This window comes from Homo sapiens, chromosome 3 (assembly GCF_000001405.40).
Source record: "Homo sapiens chromosome 3, GRCh38.p14 Primary Assembly".
Lineage (NCBI taxonomy): Eukaryota > Metazoa > Chordata > Mammalia > Primates > Hominidae > Homo > Homo sapiens.
In genome coordinates, this window is record NC_000003.12 from 126,983,760 (window position 1) to 127,002,737 (window position 18,978).

Consider the following 18,978-nt stretch of genomic DNA (forward strand, 5'->3'; position numbering starts at 1 on the left):
CCTCGGCTCAGACCTCTGGCCGCGGGCGAGGACGGGGTGGCCAGGCCCGGATAGGGATCGGAGCCTCCCAGCAGGGCCGCGGGGGCCGGAGGAGGTCGTGCAGGCTAAGCCCCCGGCCGGCCCTGGGGCGCGGGGTGGAAGTTGGAGCGGCTTCCCGACCACAGCTGCCACCGCTCCCACTGGCCCGGAGTGCGGGGAGGTGGGCTCTGGGTGCCGCCCAGGAGGCCGCCCCGCTCGGGCCTCCTTGGCCTCCCCCTCTCGGGGCCTCTCCAGGGTCAGCCGCTTCTCCCGGAGGCTTCCGATTGCTTCCTGGATAGTCCCGGGCCTGATGTGCGGCGAAGCTGGAGGCAGCGGGCCGATCCCGGGCTGCCAGGGGAAGGGGGAGTGGGGACTCCAGGGAGGCCCCTCGGTCGGCGTGAGGTCCCAGGTGCAGCCCTGGAAAGGAGGGGAGGGGCTCCGAGGGGCGGCCCCGGGCGGCGATCTGCCCCAGGCTCCTGTGTGGGGTTCTGGGGCCACGCCCCTTGAAAGAAAGGGGTGTGTGTGCCGGGGAGGGGACGTGGTCGAGCCTCTGTCCCCTCAGCGCGGCTCCTGTGGCTCAGGCTGCTCCGTGCTGCCCCATCTCCTTTCACACGTAGCCGGTTTGGGGGTCGGTGCAGGGATGGGGCGCAGTTTCTGCTCCCCGGGCCCTTGAGGAGCTTGCCTCAGGTCCCCTCGATTTCCTGCGGCTTGGGGTGTGCGGCAGAGGCCAGGTGCTGCACCAGGGGCACCAAGATGCTGCCCGGCCCTTGAGGAGCACCCAGCCCCCTGCCAGAGGCAGGCATGTGAACCAGTGATTCGCTGCAGGGCCAGGCTTCCATTCCTGGGGGGTGCCAGTGGGGCCCAGGAAGGGCGTTTTGGGCAGAGGACAGCATGGGCGGAGGCCTGGGTTTGTGGCCTCAGTGTGTGCTCTGGGGGTGGGGGACACATGAGGTGCCTGTGGACAAAGCAGACAGCCCTTTGCTGGACTCCTGGCCCCCCAAGGTCGTTGCCTGCCTGTTTTGAGCCCCCAGGAAAGCCCCCGTGCACAGAGCAGCTTAGAGCAGCTGGCCGGGAGGAGCGGGTGCCCCAGGGGAAGGCCTGCAAAGGTAGGCACTTTTTCTCAGGAGCAGGACTCCAAGGCCTTCAGAGCCGGATCCCCTAGGACTGGTCGGGAGCAGAACCACTGGGACCACCTCCCATGACCCCCGTTGTGGGGGAGGCGGAGTGCCAGGAGCAGCTGTCTTCCCCCCCGGCTGCTGTTGTGAGCCACTGGGCAGGATGGCAGCCCCACACCCCAACCTGCCTGAGCCATAGCAGGATCTGGCGCAGGAGGACTTGGGGGGATTGGACTCTTCCTTGTGGGGAGGGCTTTGGGGGCCTTTGTTTCTCAGGGTGAGAAGGAGCTTTGGTGTCACTCAGGCCAGGAAAGGGAAGGGGACACTGTTGGCTTGGCGTTCCACCAGGCGGCGATCCCCTCCTGTCCAGGAGAGGAGCCCCTGGGCTGGGGCTCCTGCACGCAGACCGCGGGGTCTCTCTCCGCCTCTCTCTCCCTGGCTAGCCCCATCGGCATCCCAAGGCCAGTCTAGCCTCCCCTGCCCTGGCTCTGGCTCTGCCTCAGCCTAGAACAGCTCTGGCCATGCCGGAGAGCCACAGCCGTTCCTACTGCCCTCTGCACAGCCAGTGTTTCCCACCCCAGGCCTTTGCTCCTCCTGTTCTGCCCCCCACCCCCACCACGAATGCCCACCCTCCTGCACCAGCTCCCAGGCTACCTGGTCCTCTCTTGAGGCCTTTCCCCGGCCACAGTGGCCAGCTCTGCTCCTCGGTAGAGTGCAGCATCTGCCCATGCTCCCCTCCTAGCCCCGGCATGGGCCCCTGGCACCCTGGCACCTGGGCCCAGCTTTGGAATGAATGCATTTTTTCCTAGGCAGACCCAAGCCTATGAGAGTTGAGCCCTGCAGGCTGGCTGGCTGGTCCAGTCTCTGGAAGCTCGAAATTTGGGCCCTGCCCTGCTGGGACTAGTTGGGTGACCTTGAGTCTGAGCCCCAAGTCTTATACCCCTAAGGTGGAAGAAGTGGCCCAAGCATTGTCACTGGCCTTTATTAGATGCTGGGCATGAGGGACCCAGCCCTAGGCTCGGGGCTCCCCCTTTCTTGGCCGGCAACCCTGTGACCCCAGGCAAGTCCCTTCCCAGCAGACTTTGTTGGGGCAGTGGGGTGAGGGTGGAGTTTGGGGCGGTGGGCCCAAGACCAGGCTGGAGTTTGGATGGTGGCTTCTTAGCCTGGTCCCTCCTGTTGAATACAAAAAGTAGGGCCCATAATTGCATTAAGACGTGTATAATTATCCCAGAGGAGGGGAGAGCCCAGCCCCTGGTAATTGCAGGCCTGCTTTGAACTGATAAACGGTGAGTGATTCATGTTTTCTTTGGAGTTCACATGTGCTCAGCTCCCAGCCCCGGCCCCACTGCCACTGTGAGGAGCCTGTTTTCTGGCTCCCGGGTCTTCCTTGAGCTCTGAGGCGGGGGCGGGAGTGGGGACTCCTCCCCTGCTGTTCTTGGGGCGCTGTCCGGCAAAGGCAGCTGGCAGCCTGCTAGGAGCACCCTGCAGTTCCTGCTCTGGGATTCCAGCCAAAGCTCTTTGCTTCTGAGAGCCTCGGTTTCCCCACCTGAGCAGTGGGTGTGTGCTGTGCACACACTGGGCAGGGAGTGTGTGGGGAGTGAAACAGGAGTGAAGAAGCATGGGGGGCTGCCGCACCCAGACCTGGCTGGCCCTCCGCATACCCTTCATTCATTCGCTCACTCACGGGGATTTATTGAGTCTTCCTGGGTCCCTGGCTTGGCTTGGGGATGCAGTGGCAACCACCCAGAGCCAGGCCCTGCTCTCACAGGGCAGCCATTCTGGCCGGGAGAATGGGAGCAATAAGTAATAGAGACCCTTCACGAGTCCTGTGCTGCAGATGAGAACAGGGTGACTGAGCAGGGCGGGGAGTGGAGACAGGGGCACAGAGGCCTGGGGGAGGGGCAGGCAGCCCCACACTGCATGTGGGCACCAGGCACAGAGGCTGATGGGACTGTGCCCAGCTCCCTGGTAGACTTGGAGAAGGCATCCATCTTCAGGCCTCAGCTTCCCCATCTGTAAAATGGGGCCAGACCATACAAGGGGTGTCTGGGATGGTCTGTGCAAACTGGCTGGCTGAGGCTTGAACTCAAGACTCAGGACTCAGCCTTGCTGTAGCCGGCTCCAGCCAGGAGTGGGTGAGAGGCCCCAGCACATCAGGCACATCCAGGGCAGCAGGCCCTACTGACAACCAAGGGGGTGGCACTGCTGACTATGCCTTGTGGGCAGGTGTGCCCTTTCCTCTTTCATCCATGAGAAAAGAGCTTTCATGCCCCTTTTGCAAATGGGGAAACTGAGGCTAGGAAAAGGGAGTGTCCCCATCAGAGTCATCTGCCTACAGAGTAACAGGGTCTAGATTTAGCCCAGTGCTTGGCTGCCAGTTGCTAGGCAGGGTGTGGTGAGACTTTTCCAGAGGCAGTGGAGGCCAGGACAGGATATGGGGACTCCCGCCAGGATCTGGGCAGCGCTGACCTCGTGTGCAGGTCAGAAGAGTGGCCTTAGCCTCTGCATAGGGACCTGGCTGTAGGTGGTTGTGGGTGGAGGGAGCCGAGTACCCTGGCAATCCAGGAAGGAGGGGTGGGCATTTTGTGGAGTTTGGGGTGGAGTCAATGGACCTTGGTAGTGAGTGTGACCAGGAAGTGAGGGCCCGATGTGGAGCAAGGCAGGAGGGGGCCACACAGGTCTGGGTGGGTATGGGGTGCTGAGGCTGGGAAGGGGTCACTGTGGAGGGGTGGAGTGCAGGGAGCACCTGCCAGCCTTCCCTGTGGAGGAATTCCTCTTTCCTTGGAGTTGGGTGTGAGGCTGGGAGCAGGACTGGTGGCTTGGATAGAGTGCTGAGAGTCAGGGCTGGTGGGCCAGGGAGCCTGGGAAGGGGCCGTGTGGCGGGGCACCCGTCGGCTGGGGTGGGGATGTGGGTGGGACACATTGCCTGGCTTCTGGACTGCAGGTCTCAAGGTTTATCCAGCATGGGGCTTGGGGTCCCACCGAGAGCAGCCCAGGCTGCCACCTATCCACAGTGAGAACTGCTGCCTGTGTGGCCTGGGCCTCCATGTCCTCCGTGGTGCCTCTGCTGTGGGCTGTCAGGGCGTGTTCGGGGGAGAGGCAGGGCTGTGGAGGTGGGAGTGAGCACTAAAGCCCATCTATGTCAAGCTTCTGTAGGGGACGGTGGTGGAGTATGTCCCCACCAGCCTCAGGCAGGGAGCTGGTGCCCACCCTGGGAGTACAGAGCTGTGGGGAGGGTCCTGCTCCCCAGTGCATAGGGAGGCTCTGGGTGAAGGCTGCTCTCCAGGTTGGTGTCAGATGTTGGTGTCAGCTGGGGTCCCATTCCACACCTCAGGCCCTTGTCACCTGCCTTCCTGTTCCTGGCCTCCGCCAGTGATGGCAGGGCACAGGTGCCAACGGAGTGACCTCTTGCCAGGTGTCCTGGGGATACCTGGTGCACCCCACAGCTTATAGGGCCTCAGGCCAGGGAGGTGCCCAGTTTGCCCCTGGCTCCTCCTGGTGGGTCAGGTTCTGCCTCCTGGAGGTGCAGTGGGCACGCCCAGCACTGGAAGGGCTCACACTGGGAGATCATAATATCATGGGATGGGCCATGCCTGCATTCACATGCCCTCTTCTGCCCCTTCCCCAGGGCTGAAGCTCCTGGCACCATGATGCTCACCCCAGCAGGACCAGAGCACCGAGGCCCAAGGCCCCAGCCTGCCATGCCGCTGCCACCGCGGAGCCTGCAGGTGCTCCTGCTGCTGCTGCTGTTGCTGCTGCTGCTGCCGGGCATGTGGGCTGAGGCAGGCTTGCCCAGGGCAGGCGGGGGTTCACAGCCCCCCTTCCGCACCTTCTCGGCCAGCGACTGGGGCCTCACCCACCTAGTGGTGCATGAGCAGACAGGCGAGGTGTATGTGGGCGCAGTGAACCGCATCTATAAGCTGTCGGGGAACCTGACACTGCTGCGGGCCCACGTCACGGGCCCTGTGGAGGACAACGAGAAGTGCTACCCGCCGCCCAGCGTGCAGTCCTGCCCCCACGGCCTGGGCAGTACTGACAACGTCAACAAGCTGCTGCTGCTGGACTATGCCGCTAACCGCCTGCTGGCCTGTGGCAGCGCCTCCCAGGGCATCTGCCAGTTCCTGCGTCTGGACGATCTCTTCAAACTGGGTGAGCCACACCACCGTAAGGAGCACTACCTGTCCAGCGTGCAGGAGGCAGGCAGCATGGCGGGCGTGCTCATTGCCGGGCCACCGGGCCAGGGCCAGGCCAAGCTCTTCGTGGGCACACCCATCGATGGCAAGTCCGAGTACTTCCCCACACTGTCCAGCCGTCGGCTCATGGCCAACGAGGAGGATGCCGACATGTTCGGCTTCGTGTACCAGGATGAGTTTGTGTCATCACAGCTCAAGATCCCTTCGGACACGCTGTCCAAGTTCCCGGCCTTTGACATCTACTATGTGTACAGCTTCCGCAGCGAGCAGTTTGTCTACTACCTCACGCTGCAGCTAGACACACAGCTGACCTCGCCTGATGCCGCCGGCGAGCACTTCTTCACGTCCAAGATCGTGCGGCTCTGTGTGGACGACCCCAAATTCTACTCGTACGTTGAGTTCCCCATTGGCTGCGAGCAGGCGGGTGTGGAGTACCGCCTGGTGCAGGATGCCTACCTGAGCCGGCCCGGCCGTGCCCTGGCCCACCAGCTGGGCCTGGCTGAGGACGAGGACGTGCTGTTCACTGTGTTCGCCCAGGGCCAGAAGAACCGCGTGAAGCCACCAAAGGAGTCAGCACTGTGCCTGTTCACGCTCAGGGCCATCAAGGAGAAGATTAAGGAGCGCATCCAGTCCTGCTACCGTGGTGAGGGCAAGCTCTCCCTGCCGTGGCTGCTCAACAAGGAGCTGGGCTGCATCAACTCGGTGAGTTGGGCAGGGGCGCCCCTCCTCCCGCGGCCCCATCCCCTCCAGGGACGACGGCATCGGTGTCAGATGCACGCCCAGTGGTGCCTGCTGTGTGCCTGGCCTGGCTTTTGGCTTGGCCATCCCCATGGCTCAGCTAGGTGGGGCTGCCCTTTTCCATCCCCCAGAGAGTGGGTTTGGACCCAGGGTGCTAGCCCCAAAGGCTGCTCCCAGCCATGATGCTGTCTTGTGCCTCAGAAGATGGGGTGACGAGGCCCTGCTGGCATAGTCCACAGCCCCTGTGGGACACTGGACAGAGTGCCAGCCACATGCCTGGTCCTACACCTGGTGCTTGCCTGCTCCATCTTGTCCCCATCCTACAAATGAGGTTATAGGATCAGAGAGGTGGGGTAACTTGCCCTGGGTCACACAGCAAGTGAGAGGCTGGTGCCAGAGCCTATCAGGTGAGCCCAGACACCATTTCCATGGAGCGCTTGTGTCCCCCACATGACCCTGGTGGCACCTGCCCGCTGGGCCTCTGCTTTTGCCCAGCAATGGGAGCTGATGGTGTCCTGGTGCAGGCCACAGTTAACAACTTGCAGAGAAAGTGACCCTGACTGCAGGGAGCCACAGCCCCCAGCACCCATCAGAAGGCACAGCTGGGGTGGGGCCTCTATCTCGCTGCCTTTCAGGGAGTGTCTTGTTCACACTCCTGGGCAGGCTCAGAGGGCACGGGCCTTGCTTAGGGTGGAAAGTGAAGGGGCTGGGACTCGGCCCAGACCTGGGACCCCCGAGGCCAGGCCTTCTGGGCTTGCTGCTGGGGGTCGCTGGCCATCGCAGGGGAAGGCCTCGCCCTCTCTGGCTGTAGTCTCCCATGTCTGACCTGAGGGTGTTGCTGGTTTTGTCCTCAGGGCAGAGTGGGACTGCAAGGGCCCCTCAGTCCTTCCGTCTCACGCTCACTGCCTGTGTGAGGCAGGGCCCATGTGTGCTTGGCAGATGCGGTTGTCCACCCTCCCCTTGGCTTTTCAAGGAACGTGTTTTCTCTGCACCATACAGATGGAGACACTGAGGCTTGTAGGGGCAGAGCCTGGGTGAAGCCCCACCACACTCTCTCTTTGTGCCCTGCCCCAAGGCTGGGGCCTGCTCTTTCATCCCTGGGGACAGTCCCCACTGCCCCCTCCCACCTGTTCATTCCATGTGGCCTAGCCCTGGCCCAGCCTCCCCTGCTCCTTCCTCCTGAGCAGCCTGGCCCCTGCCAATGAACCCTCTGCAGACAAGGACCATCTGCCCCACTTCTCCCCACATCCCTTCCCTGCCTGCCCTGCCCTCTCCTTAGGCCTGGCGGTGGAGCAGCGCCCCCTCCACACTGGCCCCCAGCTGCTCCGGAACCTCAAGCTATTGATTGCTTTCTCGTGCTCTTAGCTGGGAGCCCGCCCTCTGCCTTTCAGGTGTGATCTGCTCCCTCCTGTCTTAAACCCTCTCTGTCTGCACCTCTCCTCTGGGGGCTACCCCCAACCTCTCTAGAAAGACAACTGCACTCCCAGCCCTGCCCAGGGAGGCCCAGTCCTCCGGGAGAAGGTGCCCGGGGAGTGGCTCTCACCCTGCCCCTTCCCACAGCCCCTGCAGATCGATGACGACTTCTGCGGGCAGGACTTCAACCAGCCCCTGGGGGGCACAGTCACCATTGAGGGGACGCCCCTGTTCGTGGACAAGGATGATGGCCTGACCGCCGTGGCTGCCTATGACTATCGGGGCCGCACTGTGGTATTCGCCGGCACGCGAAGTGGCCGCATCCGCAAGGTCAGGCCTGGGTGGGGTGGGGTGAGGAGGGGGCTTGGGGCAGGAACAAAGGCTTGCGGCCGTCCCAGGTGGCAGGCCCAGTGCTGCTGTATGCTGTGGGAGGCTAGATCTGGCGTACAGGGGGCAGGGGGAATGTTGCCCTACACTAGGCCCAGTGACCTTGAAGGGCCCCACTCCCCTCTGTGCCTCTGCCCATGACTGGCCCCAGGCCCACTAAGCAAGGACACTTTGAGACCACGCAGGAGCCTGTGCAGGGGCCCAGGGATGCTGAGGCGGGGGCTGGCTCTCCAAGGGCACTTGACCTCCTGGGGAGGCTGCTGTGTGTGGGTGGTGAGGGCAGGCCTGCGCGGCCCCCTCCCCTCTGGGCCCTGCTCCCCAGCCAGGAGATCCAGTGTCTGCTGCCTCAGCACTCTGCCGGGCCAGAGGCCTTGGCCCTGCCTCTCCCCAGCCCCTCTACTGGGCCAAGGGCAGGGCAAGGGTAGTGCCCCTGCCTGTCTTTGGCTGGTGCTTGAGGAGCTCCAGCACACAGCCCTGGGCTGGCCCCACGGTGGCAGGGGGAGGGCTAGGTGCTACAGGGATGGCTGTCTGGTCTTCAGGGTTCTCCTTTCCTTCCCCAGAACAGTGGGCTGGACAGAGGCAGTGCAGAGCTTCCTGGAGGGTGTGGGTGGAGGGGAGCTGCCTGGGCTGGGGTGGGCACCAGGCTGGCCTGGTGTGGAGGAAGCTCCCGGAGAGACTGAAGGGTGGGGATACTTGGACACCCCAGAGGCCCAGTGGGCAGTGGTGGGTCCTGGGGTGCATAACCGGCACCAGAGGCTGGTGCCGATGCAGCTCCCCTGAGCCCATGTGTGCCCGCGAGTGGGGCTGGGCCGGGGGCTGGCCAGGGCTTGCAGCTCTCAGCCCGGTGCCCAGTGTTAGGAAGGGGGCCTCCCATCTCTGCCATGGTAGTTGCCCTGGGAGTGGTGGGGAGTCCTGCCCCTCCCTGGCTCTGTGATCTCTGGGAGGGGATCCCCTGCAGCCTCAGCTTCCCTCTGTGAAATAAGCCAGATGTTCAGGCTCTGGGCTGGGGGCGGGGGGTGCTGGTGGTCTTGGGGCCCGTGGGGGCCCAGCTGCTGATTGTAGGCCCCCCAGGGTGGGGGTGCCCTGGGGTCCTGCTGGTTCTGCTCATAGTGGCTATGAGGCTGAAGCTGATGGGGAAAGTCCTGTGACCCCTGAGTTGGGTCCTCTGCTGTGACTTCCCTCTTGGCCCCCATGTGGGGTACCGCCCTGTGGCTCTGGTGCGAGGCCCCTCCCGTCCTCTCAGCCTGCACTCCCTCTCCTCACACTGGAAGGCACACAGGGCTCTCGAGCGCATGGGGTGGGTGTTGGAGTGGGTTTTGCCAGACAGAGGACCGTGCTTGTGTGGAAGCCCAGTGCAGCAGCTTAGAGACATTTTGTGGGGCGCCCCAGAGCCTGTTACCCAGCCAGTGACCAGGTTCCTCTAGCCCTACCCTGTTCCTGCTGCCCAGCACTCACCCTCTTGTGCCCCAGGGGCACCGTTTGGGTCAGAGCTTTGCTGAGGGAGCAGCAGGACACAGCTGTTCCTCTGGGTGCCAGTTGGCCTGTCTCCCCTGCCTCCTCACCCCAGTCCCACAGAGGGAAACTGAGGTACAGAACAGGGAACTGCAGAGTTGGGCTTGGGCCCATCTATGGGAAGAGGCTGCTTCTGGGTTGAGATTCTACCAACTCTTCCCCTTCTTCCTGCCCCCATTCCTTCTCCCAATTTTCCCCTTCCCACCCCTAGTCCCAAGGAGGACCGTTCTCAGGGAGGCAGGTATGGGTGGAGCCTGTCCTCTGCTCCCTGGGCCAGGTGCCTCCTTGAGCCTGGCTTTGTGGGCAGCTGCTGGATGGTGCAGCTGGGAAGGTGGAGGCTGCGTCCTCATGGCCTGACATGGCTAGTTCCTTCCTGGTGACCCTGGCCGGGCCCCCACCCCTCAGAGCCCCAAGTTCTCCTCAGAGGCTCTAGGTGCCCATACCTGCCTCCCAGCACCCAACCTGGGTACCGCCTCCCTCCACCCCCAAACAAGTCTGGGCTGGGTGCCGTGGGCCATGTGTGAGTGGCACCCTTTGGGAGCATCTGGGGTCAGCTGTGCCCAGGGGTTGCTGGCCTGGCAGAGTCTGCAGTCGGGGACTTGGGTCTGAGTTTTGTTCGGAGGCCCCCCCAGGCAAGGCACGCCTCTGCTTTGTCCCCCTGGATGCAGACACGGTCATGTTGGTGAAGAACCTGCCGCCTGTACTCTTTCACCCAAATCCACCTGCTCTCAAACTGTCCAGCAGCTGGGCATGTCCCGTGCAGGGTTTTTGAACCTCAACGTCATGCAAATGCTGCATGTCATTGTGGGTCCCAGCCCTCTCCTTGCCCATTGTGTGGCCTTGAGCAAGCCGTCCAGCCTCTCTGAGCCTTGGTGTCTCCTCGTACCATGCGGACCTGGCATGCTCGTGTGGCCTGGGGTGTGTGATGAGTGTTGACCATGCGCCTGCACCCTACAGAGGCCTCATAGCAGCCTGTCATCTGTTTGACAGGTGGGGAAACTGAGTGCTCAAGGCAGGTGCTCAGGGCTGCTGGCTCTTCCCTCCCTTTCTGCGGTTCCTTGGAGGAGGCTGGGCAGAGTTCTCTGCTAGCCTTGAGAGCTAGGCCCCTTCCTCAGTGACCCCCTCTCTGAGGAGCCCCTTGCCACCCACTCCCACCTGTGTTACAGTCCAAGACCCTGGCTGTCTGGCTAGCTCCTGCCCTCCGACCTGGCTGGGAGTGCTGCTGCTGTGGGTGCATTTTGGGGTGGCTGCCTGTTCCATCCGCTCTGCCTCCCTTGTTCCCTAGTTACCGTGGGACCTTCAAAGCCTAACTTCCCACCACAGGCCACATGGGCAGAGGGTGCCCTGGGTTTGGGGTGAGGGGCCAGGAGGAGGAGATCTACCCTCACTTGTTCTGGGGCCTGGGTTCGAGTCCTACTCTGCTTGCCTTGGCTCTGTTATGTCCTGCAGACTCCAGTGCGAGGCCTCTGGCCTTGCTCCACTGTGAAGGATGCTTGCTCCCCGCTGGCCACACAGGCCTCTACTTGGCCTGGCCCGGGGGCAGCAGAACTTCACTTCTCCTCGTCTCTCCTTGTCATGCTGACCCAACCTGTGTGTGGGGCTGGCTGTGGTCCAGGGTCCAGAGCCAGGGTAAGGAGGGCCATGCTGAGCCCGGCCCCTGGGCTGCCCTGCCTCCTTCTTGCTCTCAGGGCCTTGGGAGAGGCCGGGCCCCGGGGCTCCCTCCTGCCTGTTCACATAGGGCTTCTCCTTCCCTGAGGCAGCTGGCCTGGCTGTGCTCTCAGAGCACAGGGCCCCGCCTCCTGCCTTCTTCACTTGGTCTCCTGGAGCTGGGCCCTGGGGACCCCCAGCCCACGCTTGACCCAGGGGCAGGCCTGCCAGGCTTACCACTCCCTGTCTTTCCCAGGCCAGTCTTTTCCGGGCTTTAAAAAGTGTCTGGGGAGCTCCAGGGACTTGGCTGGCCCCGGGCCAGTTCCTGTCAAACTGTTGGGGTGTGAAATTGTAGCTGATTAATTTAAGACCTGCCAACTTCGGCTATGGGGCTGACTGGGGGTGCCCCTGTCCCCCCTCCTTTCACCAGAGCCCTGCCTGGCACCTGCTCTGCACCCACACAGGCAGCCTCTCCCCCTGGGGTGCCTCTCTCAGCGAACTTCCTGCGCCCTGCTCCCAGCTCCTCCCGTGGCCTCTGGGGACCCCGGGCCATGTCAGGAGCTCACAGGAGCAGCCCCTGTTTTGGGTCCTGTAGCATCAGCCCAAGTACCCCCATGGGAGGGGAGAGCACAGGCCCCGGCCTCCTGCAGAGCGGGTGCTGTCCCCCTACAGAGGAAGCTGGGGAGAGCCTTGCCCTGTGGGCCGGCTGACGGGCACCCGAGGCCAGCCCTGCTCTGGTCCTGCTGCTGCTGCGGGGCAAAAGGAGCCAGCCCCTGGCTGAGGCCCAGCCTGCCCATTCAGGGAATGTAGGCCTGACTGCCTGAGCACCCGGTTTTTCAAGATTCTGGAAACCTGTATTTTGTGTGAGATCTCTTGGTTATTAAATCCACGTTGTAAGAGAGTATAACAGGACCAACTCAAGCATCCCTTTGGCCACCAGTTTGTGGCCCAGGGACCTGCACTGTGGCCTTGAGTAGCTTAGGGAAGCCACCCACCTGGGCTCTGAGGCATGGCCCTGGTGAAGCCCCATCCTCTGGGGCCTTGGTTTCCTTCCCTGGATGTTGGGTGCATCTGGGCATACCCCAGGGAGGCTTGGGGCTTGAAGTTCCTTCTGGAGCTGACCCCGATGAGCCATCACAGCATCTCCCTGTGGCGGTCCCTGCACAGAGGCTGCAGCTGCAGTTCCCTGTGTGCGTCCTGGCCTGGCTGGCCCCTGTCCCTGTGCTCATGGGCCCTCAGGACTCATGCTGCAGCACCTCCTGCAGCTTTCCTGGTCCCCACCATTCTTCAGCACTCCTAGGGGTTCCCAGTGGTGGAACCTGCAGCAGCTGGGTCTCTGAAGTGCTTAGGAGGCCTGTGGCATTAGTTGCCATCCCTGAGCTTCGGGAATGGTGGCCTGCGGGGCCTGGAGCTGGAGCGAAGCCTCTGGAGCCCTGCGCAGCGTGGGAGGTGTCCTCCGCCCGGCCATCTTCCTCTCTGCAGACAGCTGGGCACCTGCTGTGTGCCTGGGCTGCCTGGGGACAAGGAACACCTGCCCCCTAGAGGCCCCACTGCTCTAGAAGCTTTCAGCATGCTTTAGAGGCCTCTTTGCACTCCCCTCATACCCCCGGACCCCAGGCAGGATTTTGGAATTTGTAAGTTCTGGAAGTTGAGTGGCATCTCACAGCCCACGCAAGTGCAAGGCAGTTGGTGGCAGGTGCCCACTGTGGGGTTGGCAGCTTGAGCCTCTTCAGGTCTGTAGTGAGCCTCCCTGTCCAGGGTCTGTGCCAGGGATGTGGTAGGAGACCGTCCTGAAAGAGCTGGAGCTGGGGGGGCAAGAAGTGTGCTGGCCACAGGCAGCCCTGACCCAAGGGAGGTGCAGGGCAGGACTGAGCCCCCAGCCCCTTAGCCGTGGAGAGGCTGCTGTCCCCCACCATTGAGTTTCATCTTGTGTGTTGTTGAGGGAGGGACAAGGGGAGTTGATTTCAATGACTTGCCCTTGAAGCCTACAGTCATTCCCAGGTACAGCCTGTGCTGCACTGTTGGCGTTCTTTGGGGACGTGCCCCTTGCACCTGCAGCATGCAGCCCACTCCCGAGCCTGCAGGAGGGTCCTGTGCCCTGCATGGTCAGCCTGTGACAGACGCCACATGGAAGTGACACACATGGAAGCGTGCATTGGGGGTGTGTCACGGGAGAGCATAGGCACCTACCATCCCCGGCAGCCCCTCCTGGTCCTTCCCTTCCCAGGGTGACCGCCCTGGCTGGCTCCTTTGACGCTGTGTGCTGCTATGTGGGCTCTGGGGTTGAGTCATCATCTTTTGCTTGGCAAGACTCTTCCTTACTGTGGGCAGCTGTGGTGCGTGCCATGTCCTCATGTTGCGTGTTTCAAGCACACATGCCTGTGCATCCTGCCCACTCTGGATGGCCATGGTGTTGCCAGTCCTTGCAGGCCTGTTGTAAGCATGGCTGTGTGTGGATTCCTGTGGCAGAAGGATGGATTTCTTTGGGGTTTCAGCCTGGGAGCAAGGCTGTGGAGCCTCTGTTGTTGTTCTGCCTTAACTCTCTGGGACCACCTCTGCTGCTGCTGAAGGACTTGGTGGCGGCCTGTGGCAGTGCCCGGCAGCATGTGGGGTCAATGGGCATGAGGCAGGTGCTCTGGGGCAGGCCACCGGGTCCGTCTTTGCTGTGCCCCCACTGGTAGTCTTGGTGGGATGGGGCAGAGCCAGCTGCCTGTCATGGCTGCTCTCTGTGGGGCCTGAGTGTGTGCTGCCACTGCCCGCCCAGGCCAGCAGTCCCAGTCCCCTTCACGGGGCCCTGCACGGTAACCTGCCGACATCTGTGCTTCCTGGTGAGCGTGTGCCCGCCCCCTTTCCGCCTCTCCTGGATGTAGTTGGCCACTGTGGGCTGAGCCATGAGGATGCAGGGAGCGACCTGCTGTTTGCCCTGTGGGCATGATGAGTGCCGTCCCAGAGCTGGTGGTGTGCGAGGGTGCATAAGCATCGCTTCTGCTTCCCAGTGGCTGGCAGGGCCACCCATGGGGCACTCACGGAGAGCCCTAAGCCAGTCAGGCCTAAGCCAGGGCACGGGCCCGTCAACACCATTGATAAGGTGGAGGCAGCAGTGGCTTCCCCATGCCGTCCTGTGTGTGCTCGGGCTCATGGCCAGCCTGGCAGGGGCAGCCTTGTGAGTATCCACACCGGGCAGTCGCCTTCCCCCACAGGCACATGGGGCCTGTGGTCCCAACCACAGCAGAGACCACGATGTAGGAGGTGCTGGCAGCGTGCAGTGGGTATGGAGGCTGGAACAACCCAGGGGACTGGGTGGTCTGCTGGAAGGGTGTTCTGGGGACAAGGAACAGGAGGGCCAAAGCTCAGAGGTGCCCCCCGTGGATGCTGGGAAGCGTACTGTGCCTTTTGGGGTTTCAGGGGCTGCCTCGGGCACACTATGCTTGTGTGGTGGGTCACTTCACCAGAGAAGGTGGCTGGACCAGCTGGATGGGGGGTAGGTGCTGATGTGGGTCTTTGAGGGCCCAGGGCCATGGGGTGGCACTAGGGTCAGAGCTGGAGGTGGCATTGAGGTCACAGGATGGAGGAGAGAGGGCACCAGGCAGCTGGTGGGTTTGAGGGAAGACACTGGGGCAGATGGTCCCTGCTGCCTGTGTCCCCACAGGACCCGTGCTGGTGACAGCCTGGCTGTGGCGGAGACTCTGGCCAAGCCCCAGGTTAGCCCGGAGCCCAGGCAGTGGTATGTGACTGAGGTGGTGCAGTCTATGGTGGTTCACGGTGGCCCCACCAGGTGTGGCCTCACCAGCTGGGTGCTAGGTTCCCCAGGCAGCTGTGCACATCTGCCCCACAGCAGGGCCAAGCACTTCCCCTTTGGAACCATGAACTCCTGAATTCTCACACAGCTCTGTGAGGTGGATGTTGGCAGATGAGACCAGGGGTTGGGGAGGTCCACTCCTTGCTGAGGGGTTGCTGCTGGGGCAGGCTGGAGCCTGTCTAAGGCAGCCCTGGCTGTCCTTCACCTGCCAGGACCCTGACCTCAGTCTCTGCTCTCCCTGTGTGCTGGGGGTTGGGGGTGGAAGAGATGGGATTCCTAGGACACTCTCTCCCCCGACAGGTGTGTCTGGCCTGATTCCAGCCCTCGGGCTTCCTGCAAATCCTGTTTTAATTACCCAATTACTGCCAAGAGGAAATTGCTAATTGCTTTTCCAGTATCAAGTTCCTCCTGGCCTTTCTGAGAGTGGTGGGGACCCAGGAAGGAGGCCTAGAACCTGTCCACAGCTGGAGGAGGGGGCAGTCCTGTGAGGGGTGAGGAGGGTCTGGGAGTGGGTCCGCTGGGGCCTACCTCAGCTGTGCAGTTCTGGCTGGGAAGGGGAGGGGCAGGTGGGCTCTGCACCCTGTGGGGGTCCTGAGAAGAGAGGGCAGCAGAGGCTCCTGCCCCTCGGGCAGCCCTTCCTGGGGCCACCTCAGGCTGGGGACGGGTTTGGCAGCTGCCTCTGCAGAAAGGCTGAGAAGTGTGTGAGGCCTCCACGTGTGGGCACCTCCTTAGCTGCTGCCCCGGTCTTTGCCTGTCCCCACCTTGTCCTGTCCTTCTCCCAGCCCTGGGGCCCGGAGGCAGCTCCACAGGTGCATCCCCGCCTCACAGAAAGAGGGAGGGCCAGGCCCCTGGCTGCCATCATGGGGCAGGCAGAGTTGGGCAACTCCCCTTGCCAGGTCAGGGCCAAGCCGGGCAGCCCCCTGCCTCCCGGCGGCTGGGGCGCGTGCCGGTCCTGGCACATAGCCTGGGTGGCCCAGACATCCTCCCGGCACCCCCGCCTGCCCTCAGCCCGGAGAATGGGCCCTTTGTTGGCTCTGGGCGGGATGGACAGCTGACCTGGCCGGGCCCTCAGCTGCCCGCCGGCAGCAGTTGGCCAGGGCTGTGGCGGTGATGGGAGTGGGTACAGCCAGCAGGGCCAGCCTGGGGCCTGCATTGAGCCCTGCCTGCTGTGTCCTGGGGGCAAAGGGGTGAACCTGCTCCCTGGCCTATCTGTGGGGAGGGTCAGATGAGCCCTGTGGTGGTGGGAGGTGCTCAGTCCAGGAGTGAGGGCCATGCCTGGCGTGGCCTGGGCACTGAGAGGCCTCGGGACTGCACTTCGGTCTCGGCTCCGAGCCCAGGGTCGACTCGCCCGTGTGCATGTAGGACAGGTACCCCAGGGTTAGATGGTCCAGGCAGAAGCAGGTGGGGGCATCCCGTGTTCCGCCAGCCAGGGGTGGGTGGGGGCCTGGTGCAGCCAAGGGGCATATCCAGGGAGGCTGCTGGCTCTGCTGAAGCCCCTTGGGTCAAGGGGAGGGTCCTCTCAAGCAGGGGGCGGCATGCATGGGCAGCGCCAGCTCCTGGTTTGTGCTGGGAGGTGGGAGGGTGGGCTGTTGGGGCCAGTTGTGGAAGGTTCTGGTGGTCTTTGGGGAAAGATTTGCAGAGCAAGGAGGTGACAGCTGGGGGAAGATTCCAGGGCATGCCTGTGGCCCGTTCCCATGCCCGGGACACGTCAAGCCTCTCATTTGCTCTGCCAGCTGCCCAGCTGCTGTGGGAGGGGCTTCTGGGCCCAGCCACCTCGAGGGTGGGCTGCCTCCAGGCGGGTGGCCCGAAAGTGGACAGCTGTGGCCAGGGTGTGGGCGTCGGCACGTGGGCTCCCGGCCGGCGTGTGCCCTTCTGTCCTGCCACCCGCTCTGGCCCCAGGTTCACCTGCCGTCTGTGCCCCTGTGCTCTGGTTCTCCTGGAATACCCTCCTGCTGGGTACTGGCTCCCCCTTCCCACTTTACGAGCAGCCTCTGTACTCCTCCCAGGTGCAGTTGCGGGTCCAGGGCCCAAGGTTCCTCTGGCAGGTGCTGTGTGAGTCTCAGCTTACCTCCTGTCTGTGTGGTTTGATAAAGCTGGCTTGGCTGCACAGGCCCTTCACCCTGAACTCTGGCTAGGACACAGACACATGTCCTGGGGACCATTGTCCTAGCTGGATGCCCTGTAGAACATGTGTGGGTGCACAGGGGCCCTGCTGAGTCTGGACCGTGGCGCCTCAGTGAACAGTGTGGGGCCTGCACCTGCGTCACATCCATCCTCTGGTCTGGTGTGCTGTGCCGTAGTGGCCTCCCCAGTGCCCCGCTCACACTGGCCATGCCATGGCCTCTCCTGGGGCTCTGTCTCCCTGGGCCCAGCCTGTGTGTGTGAAGGGGTGGAGGTGGCAGGTGGGTGGACAGATGGGTACATGGCGGATGGACAGCTGGACGCGTGTGCTCCCGGCTGCAGCTGTCAGAGCCAACTGTCCAGTCGGCATGCTGCTGGGTGGAGCGGGGCGTTCTGGAGCCTGGGGCCCAGCTCCAGAAGAAGCTCCTATGGCTTCTTCCCTTCCTGGGACCCCTCCTTGCACCCCTCACCCACCGTTCCTTTCCTTGGAGCTGGTGTGCCCCCTGGACCTGCCCTTCTGTGACCCGTTTCTTCACCCCTTGGTGTGACATTTGTGCCCCCAACCCTGAGTGGGTGGATGCCTTGCAGGCCGGGCCAGGGTCAGGCTCCGGCATCATGTGGCCCTGGCTGTTGGGGAGGTGGGTCATGTCCTTGTTGAGACACCTCTCAAGTGCTCCCTGCATGCCGGGCCAGGGTCCATCAGCTCAGGCTGAAGGGGCTCTGCTACCAGGGGCAAGAGGGGCCAGGGGCCATATCCCCTGGTGCTGGTAGGGGAGGGGGAGCTGGGGCTGGGCTTCACAGCGGGAAGCCGCTGGGGATATCCACAGGACTGTGAGGATGGAGGAGATGAGAGGAATCGTGGTCCCTAACCGGGGTCTTCCAGGTTGGAGCCGCAGGTCTGCGCACTGGGCATACCTGCCCCAGCCTCCACCCAGTCTGTGTCCTGCCCTCCTCGCCTTCCTTCCCCCACTCCCTGGTGGCTGTCTTAAGCCGCTGGCTTGGATGTGTGGTTGGCTGCGCAGGTGCGGTGATTGCTGTGGGCCTGGCCACCCTGGGTCCCCCTGCTCCCGCCTGGCACACCTGGCCTGGTTCTCATATAATCCTCAGAACAACTCTGTCTGAGGGAGGCAGAGAGAGGTTTGGACCCAGGCACTGTGGCCCAGAGGCTGGTCCTGGCTGGCATCCGCCTGGGTCTGAGTACCTGCCTCTGGCCACTGACCCAGAGCAAAGCAGGGGGTTTGTGGTGCTGGCATCCTAAGCGTCCGTCGGGCAGGCCTTGGGCCAGTGGTCATCTTAAACAAGGACTCCTACTCCTGCTGTGGCTGCAGGGCAGGCAGGCACGGGTGCACTTGGTGCGGGTGTGGGTGCAGTCCAGGCCCCACCGGCAGGGGTGCTGGGCGGCCGTGGCCTGGTTGCTCCTGGGCCGCCCGCTGTCCCTGCATCTCTCCTCCCAGAGGCCGTGGGCCATGGCCCTGCAGCCAGTGCAGCTGGGCCCATCCTGGCCGCCTCTTCCCCTGCCCAGCTTTGGGCTCCACTCTTCCGGGTCTGGTTTGACTTAAGCCTGCTTGGTGGCGAGGCAGCTGAGCGGATGTGGGGGGTGGCCGGCGGCGCTCAGGAATGCGGCCCTCCCCCTCTCCCAGCCGACAGCCTCTTTGGCTCAGAAACACAGCGCCCCACCCTGGCTGGCCGCCCTCAGCCCAGGCCTGATGGATCGGACTCCAACCAGGGCTTTCGCTGGGCCCTGCTGCCCTGGACCTGCCCTGCTCTGTAACCGTGAGGAGTGAGGACACAGAGGAGGGGTACTGAGTCTGGGCCTAGGCCCCTGCCCTGAGGTGGAAGTGGAGAGGTAGAGCGGGAGCAGGAGTGGGTCAGGCTGGGGGAAGCAGGCCACAGCCCGCAGCCTGAGAGCCTACCCTGGACTCAGAGCTGGGCAGACACGCCCCAAGAGTCCCATCTCTGGAAAGCCCCGTGGGTCTCTCTGTTAATTAAATACATTTGTTTGGTAAAAGCAACTAAAAATACTTGCAGCATCGTG

General features: G+C 63.3%; 1 protein-coding gene across 1 annotated transcript in view, besides 8 other annotated features; it reads left to right on the plus strand.

Annotated features, from left to right (window-relative positions):
* Positions 1 to 18,978, plus strand: part of PLXNA1 (plexin A1) — a 54,275-nt gene that overhangs the window by 645 nt on the left and 34,652 nt on the right. Inside the window, exons 2-3 of the mRNA NM_032242.4 lie at positions 4,762 to 6,028; positions 7,625 to 7,807. Coding sequence (NP_115618.3) covers positions 4,835 to 6,028; positions 7,625 to 7,807 — 1,377 coding nt within the window. The 5' untranslated portion in view covers positions 4,762 to 4,834. The remainder of the gene's footprint in view (positions 1 to 4,761; positions 6,029 to 7,624; positions 7,808 to 18,978) is intronic.
* Positions 367 to 446: a silencer, noted in NCBI's record as "silent region_14683". NCBI's record gives its function as "represses an Ori minimal core promoter by ATAC-STARR-seq in GM12878 lymphoblastoid cells {active_cell/tissue: GM12878}" and the evidence as "EXISTENCE:reporter gene assay evidence [ECO:0000049][PMID:35858748]".
* Positions 11,193 to 11,826: an enhancer, noted in NCBI's record as "H3K4me1 hESC enhancer chr3:126713795-126714428 (GRCh37/hg19 assembly coordinates)". NCBI's record gives its function as "activates a minimal SCP1, AML or CMV promoter by ChIP-STARR-seq in naive H9 embryonic stem cells {active_cell/tissue: H9 hESC(naive)}" and the evidence as "EXISTENCE:reporter gene assay evidence [ECO:0000049][PMID:30033119]".
* Positions 11,275 to 11,334: an enhancer, noted in NCBI's record as "active region_20448". NCBI's record gives its function as "activates an Ori minimal core promoter by ATAC-STARR-seq in GM12878 lymphoblastoid cells {active_cell/tissue: GM12878}" and the evidence as "EXISTENCE:reporter gene assay evidence [ECO:0000049][PMID:35858748]".
* Positions 13,727 to 14,360: an enhancer, noted in NCBI's record as "H3K27ac-H3K4me1 hESC enhancer chr3:126716329-126716962 (GRCh37/hg19 assembly coordinates)". NCBI's record gives its function as "activates a minimal SCP1, AML or CMV promoter by ChIP-STARR-seq in primed H9 embryonic stem cells {active_cell/tissue: H9 hESC(primed)}" and the evidence as "EXISTENCE:reporter gene assay evidence [ECO:0000049][PMID:30033119]".
* Positions 15,647 to 15,941: a silencer, noted in NCBI's record as "tiled region #11201; HepG2 Repressive DNase matched - State 9:DNaseU, and K562 Repressive non-DNase unmatched - State 23:Low". NCBI's record gives its function as "represses a minimal TATA promoter and a strong SV40 promoter by Sharpr-MPRA in HepG2 and K562 cells {active_cell/tissue: HepG2 | K562}" and the evidence as "EXISTENCE:reporter gene assay evidence [ECO:0000049][PMID:27701403]".
* Positions 16,893 to 17,526: an enhancer, noted in NCBI's record as "H3K27ac-H3K4me1 hESC enhancer chr3:126719495-126720128 (GRCh37/hg19 assembly coordinates)". NCBI's record gives its function as "activates a minimal SCP1, AML or CMV promoter by ChIP-STARR-seq in primed H9 embryonic stem cells {active_cell/tissue: H9 hESC(primed)}" and the evidence as "EXISTENCE:reporter gene assay evidence [ECO:0000049][PMID:30033119]".
* Positions 18,265 to 18,404: an enhancer, noted in NCBI's record as "active region_20449". NCBI's record gives its function as "activates an Ori minimal core promoter by ATAC-STARR-seq in GM12878 lymphoblastoid cells {active_cell/tissue: GM12878}" and the evidence as "EXISTENCE:reporter gene assay evidence [ECO:0000049][PMID:35858748]".
* Positions 18,427 to 18,721: an enhancer, noted in NCBI's record as "tiled region #421; HepG2 Activating non-DNase unmatched - State 12:CtcfO, and K562 Activating non-DNase unmatched - State 8:EnhW". NCBI's record gives its function as "activates a minimal TATA promoter and a strong SV40 promoter by Sharpr-MPRA in HepG2 and K562 cells {active_cell/tissue: HepG2 | K562}" and the evidence as "EXISTENCE:reporter gene assay evidence [ECO:0000049][PMID:27701403]".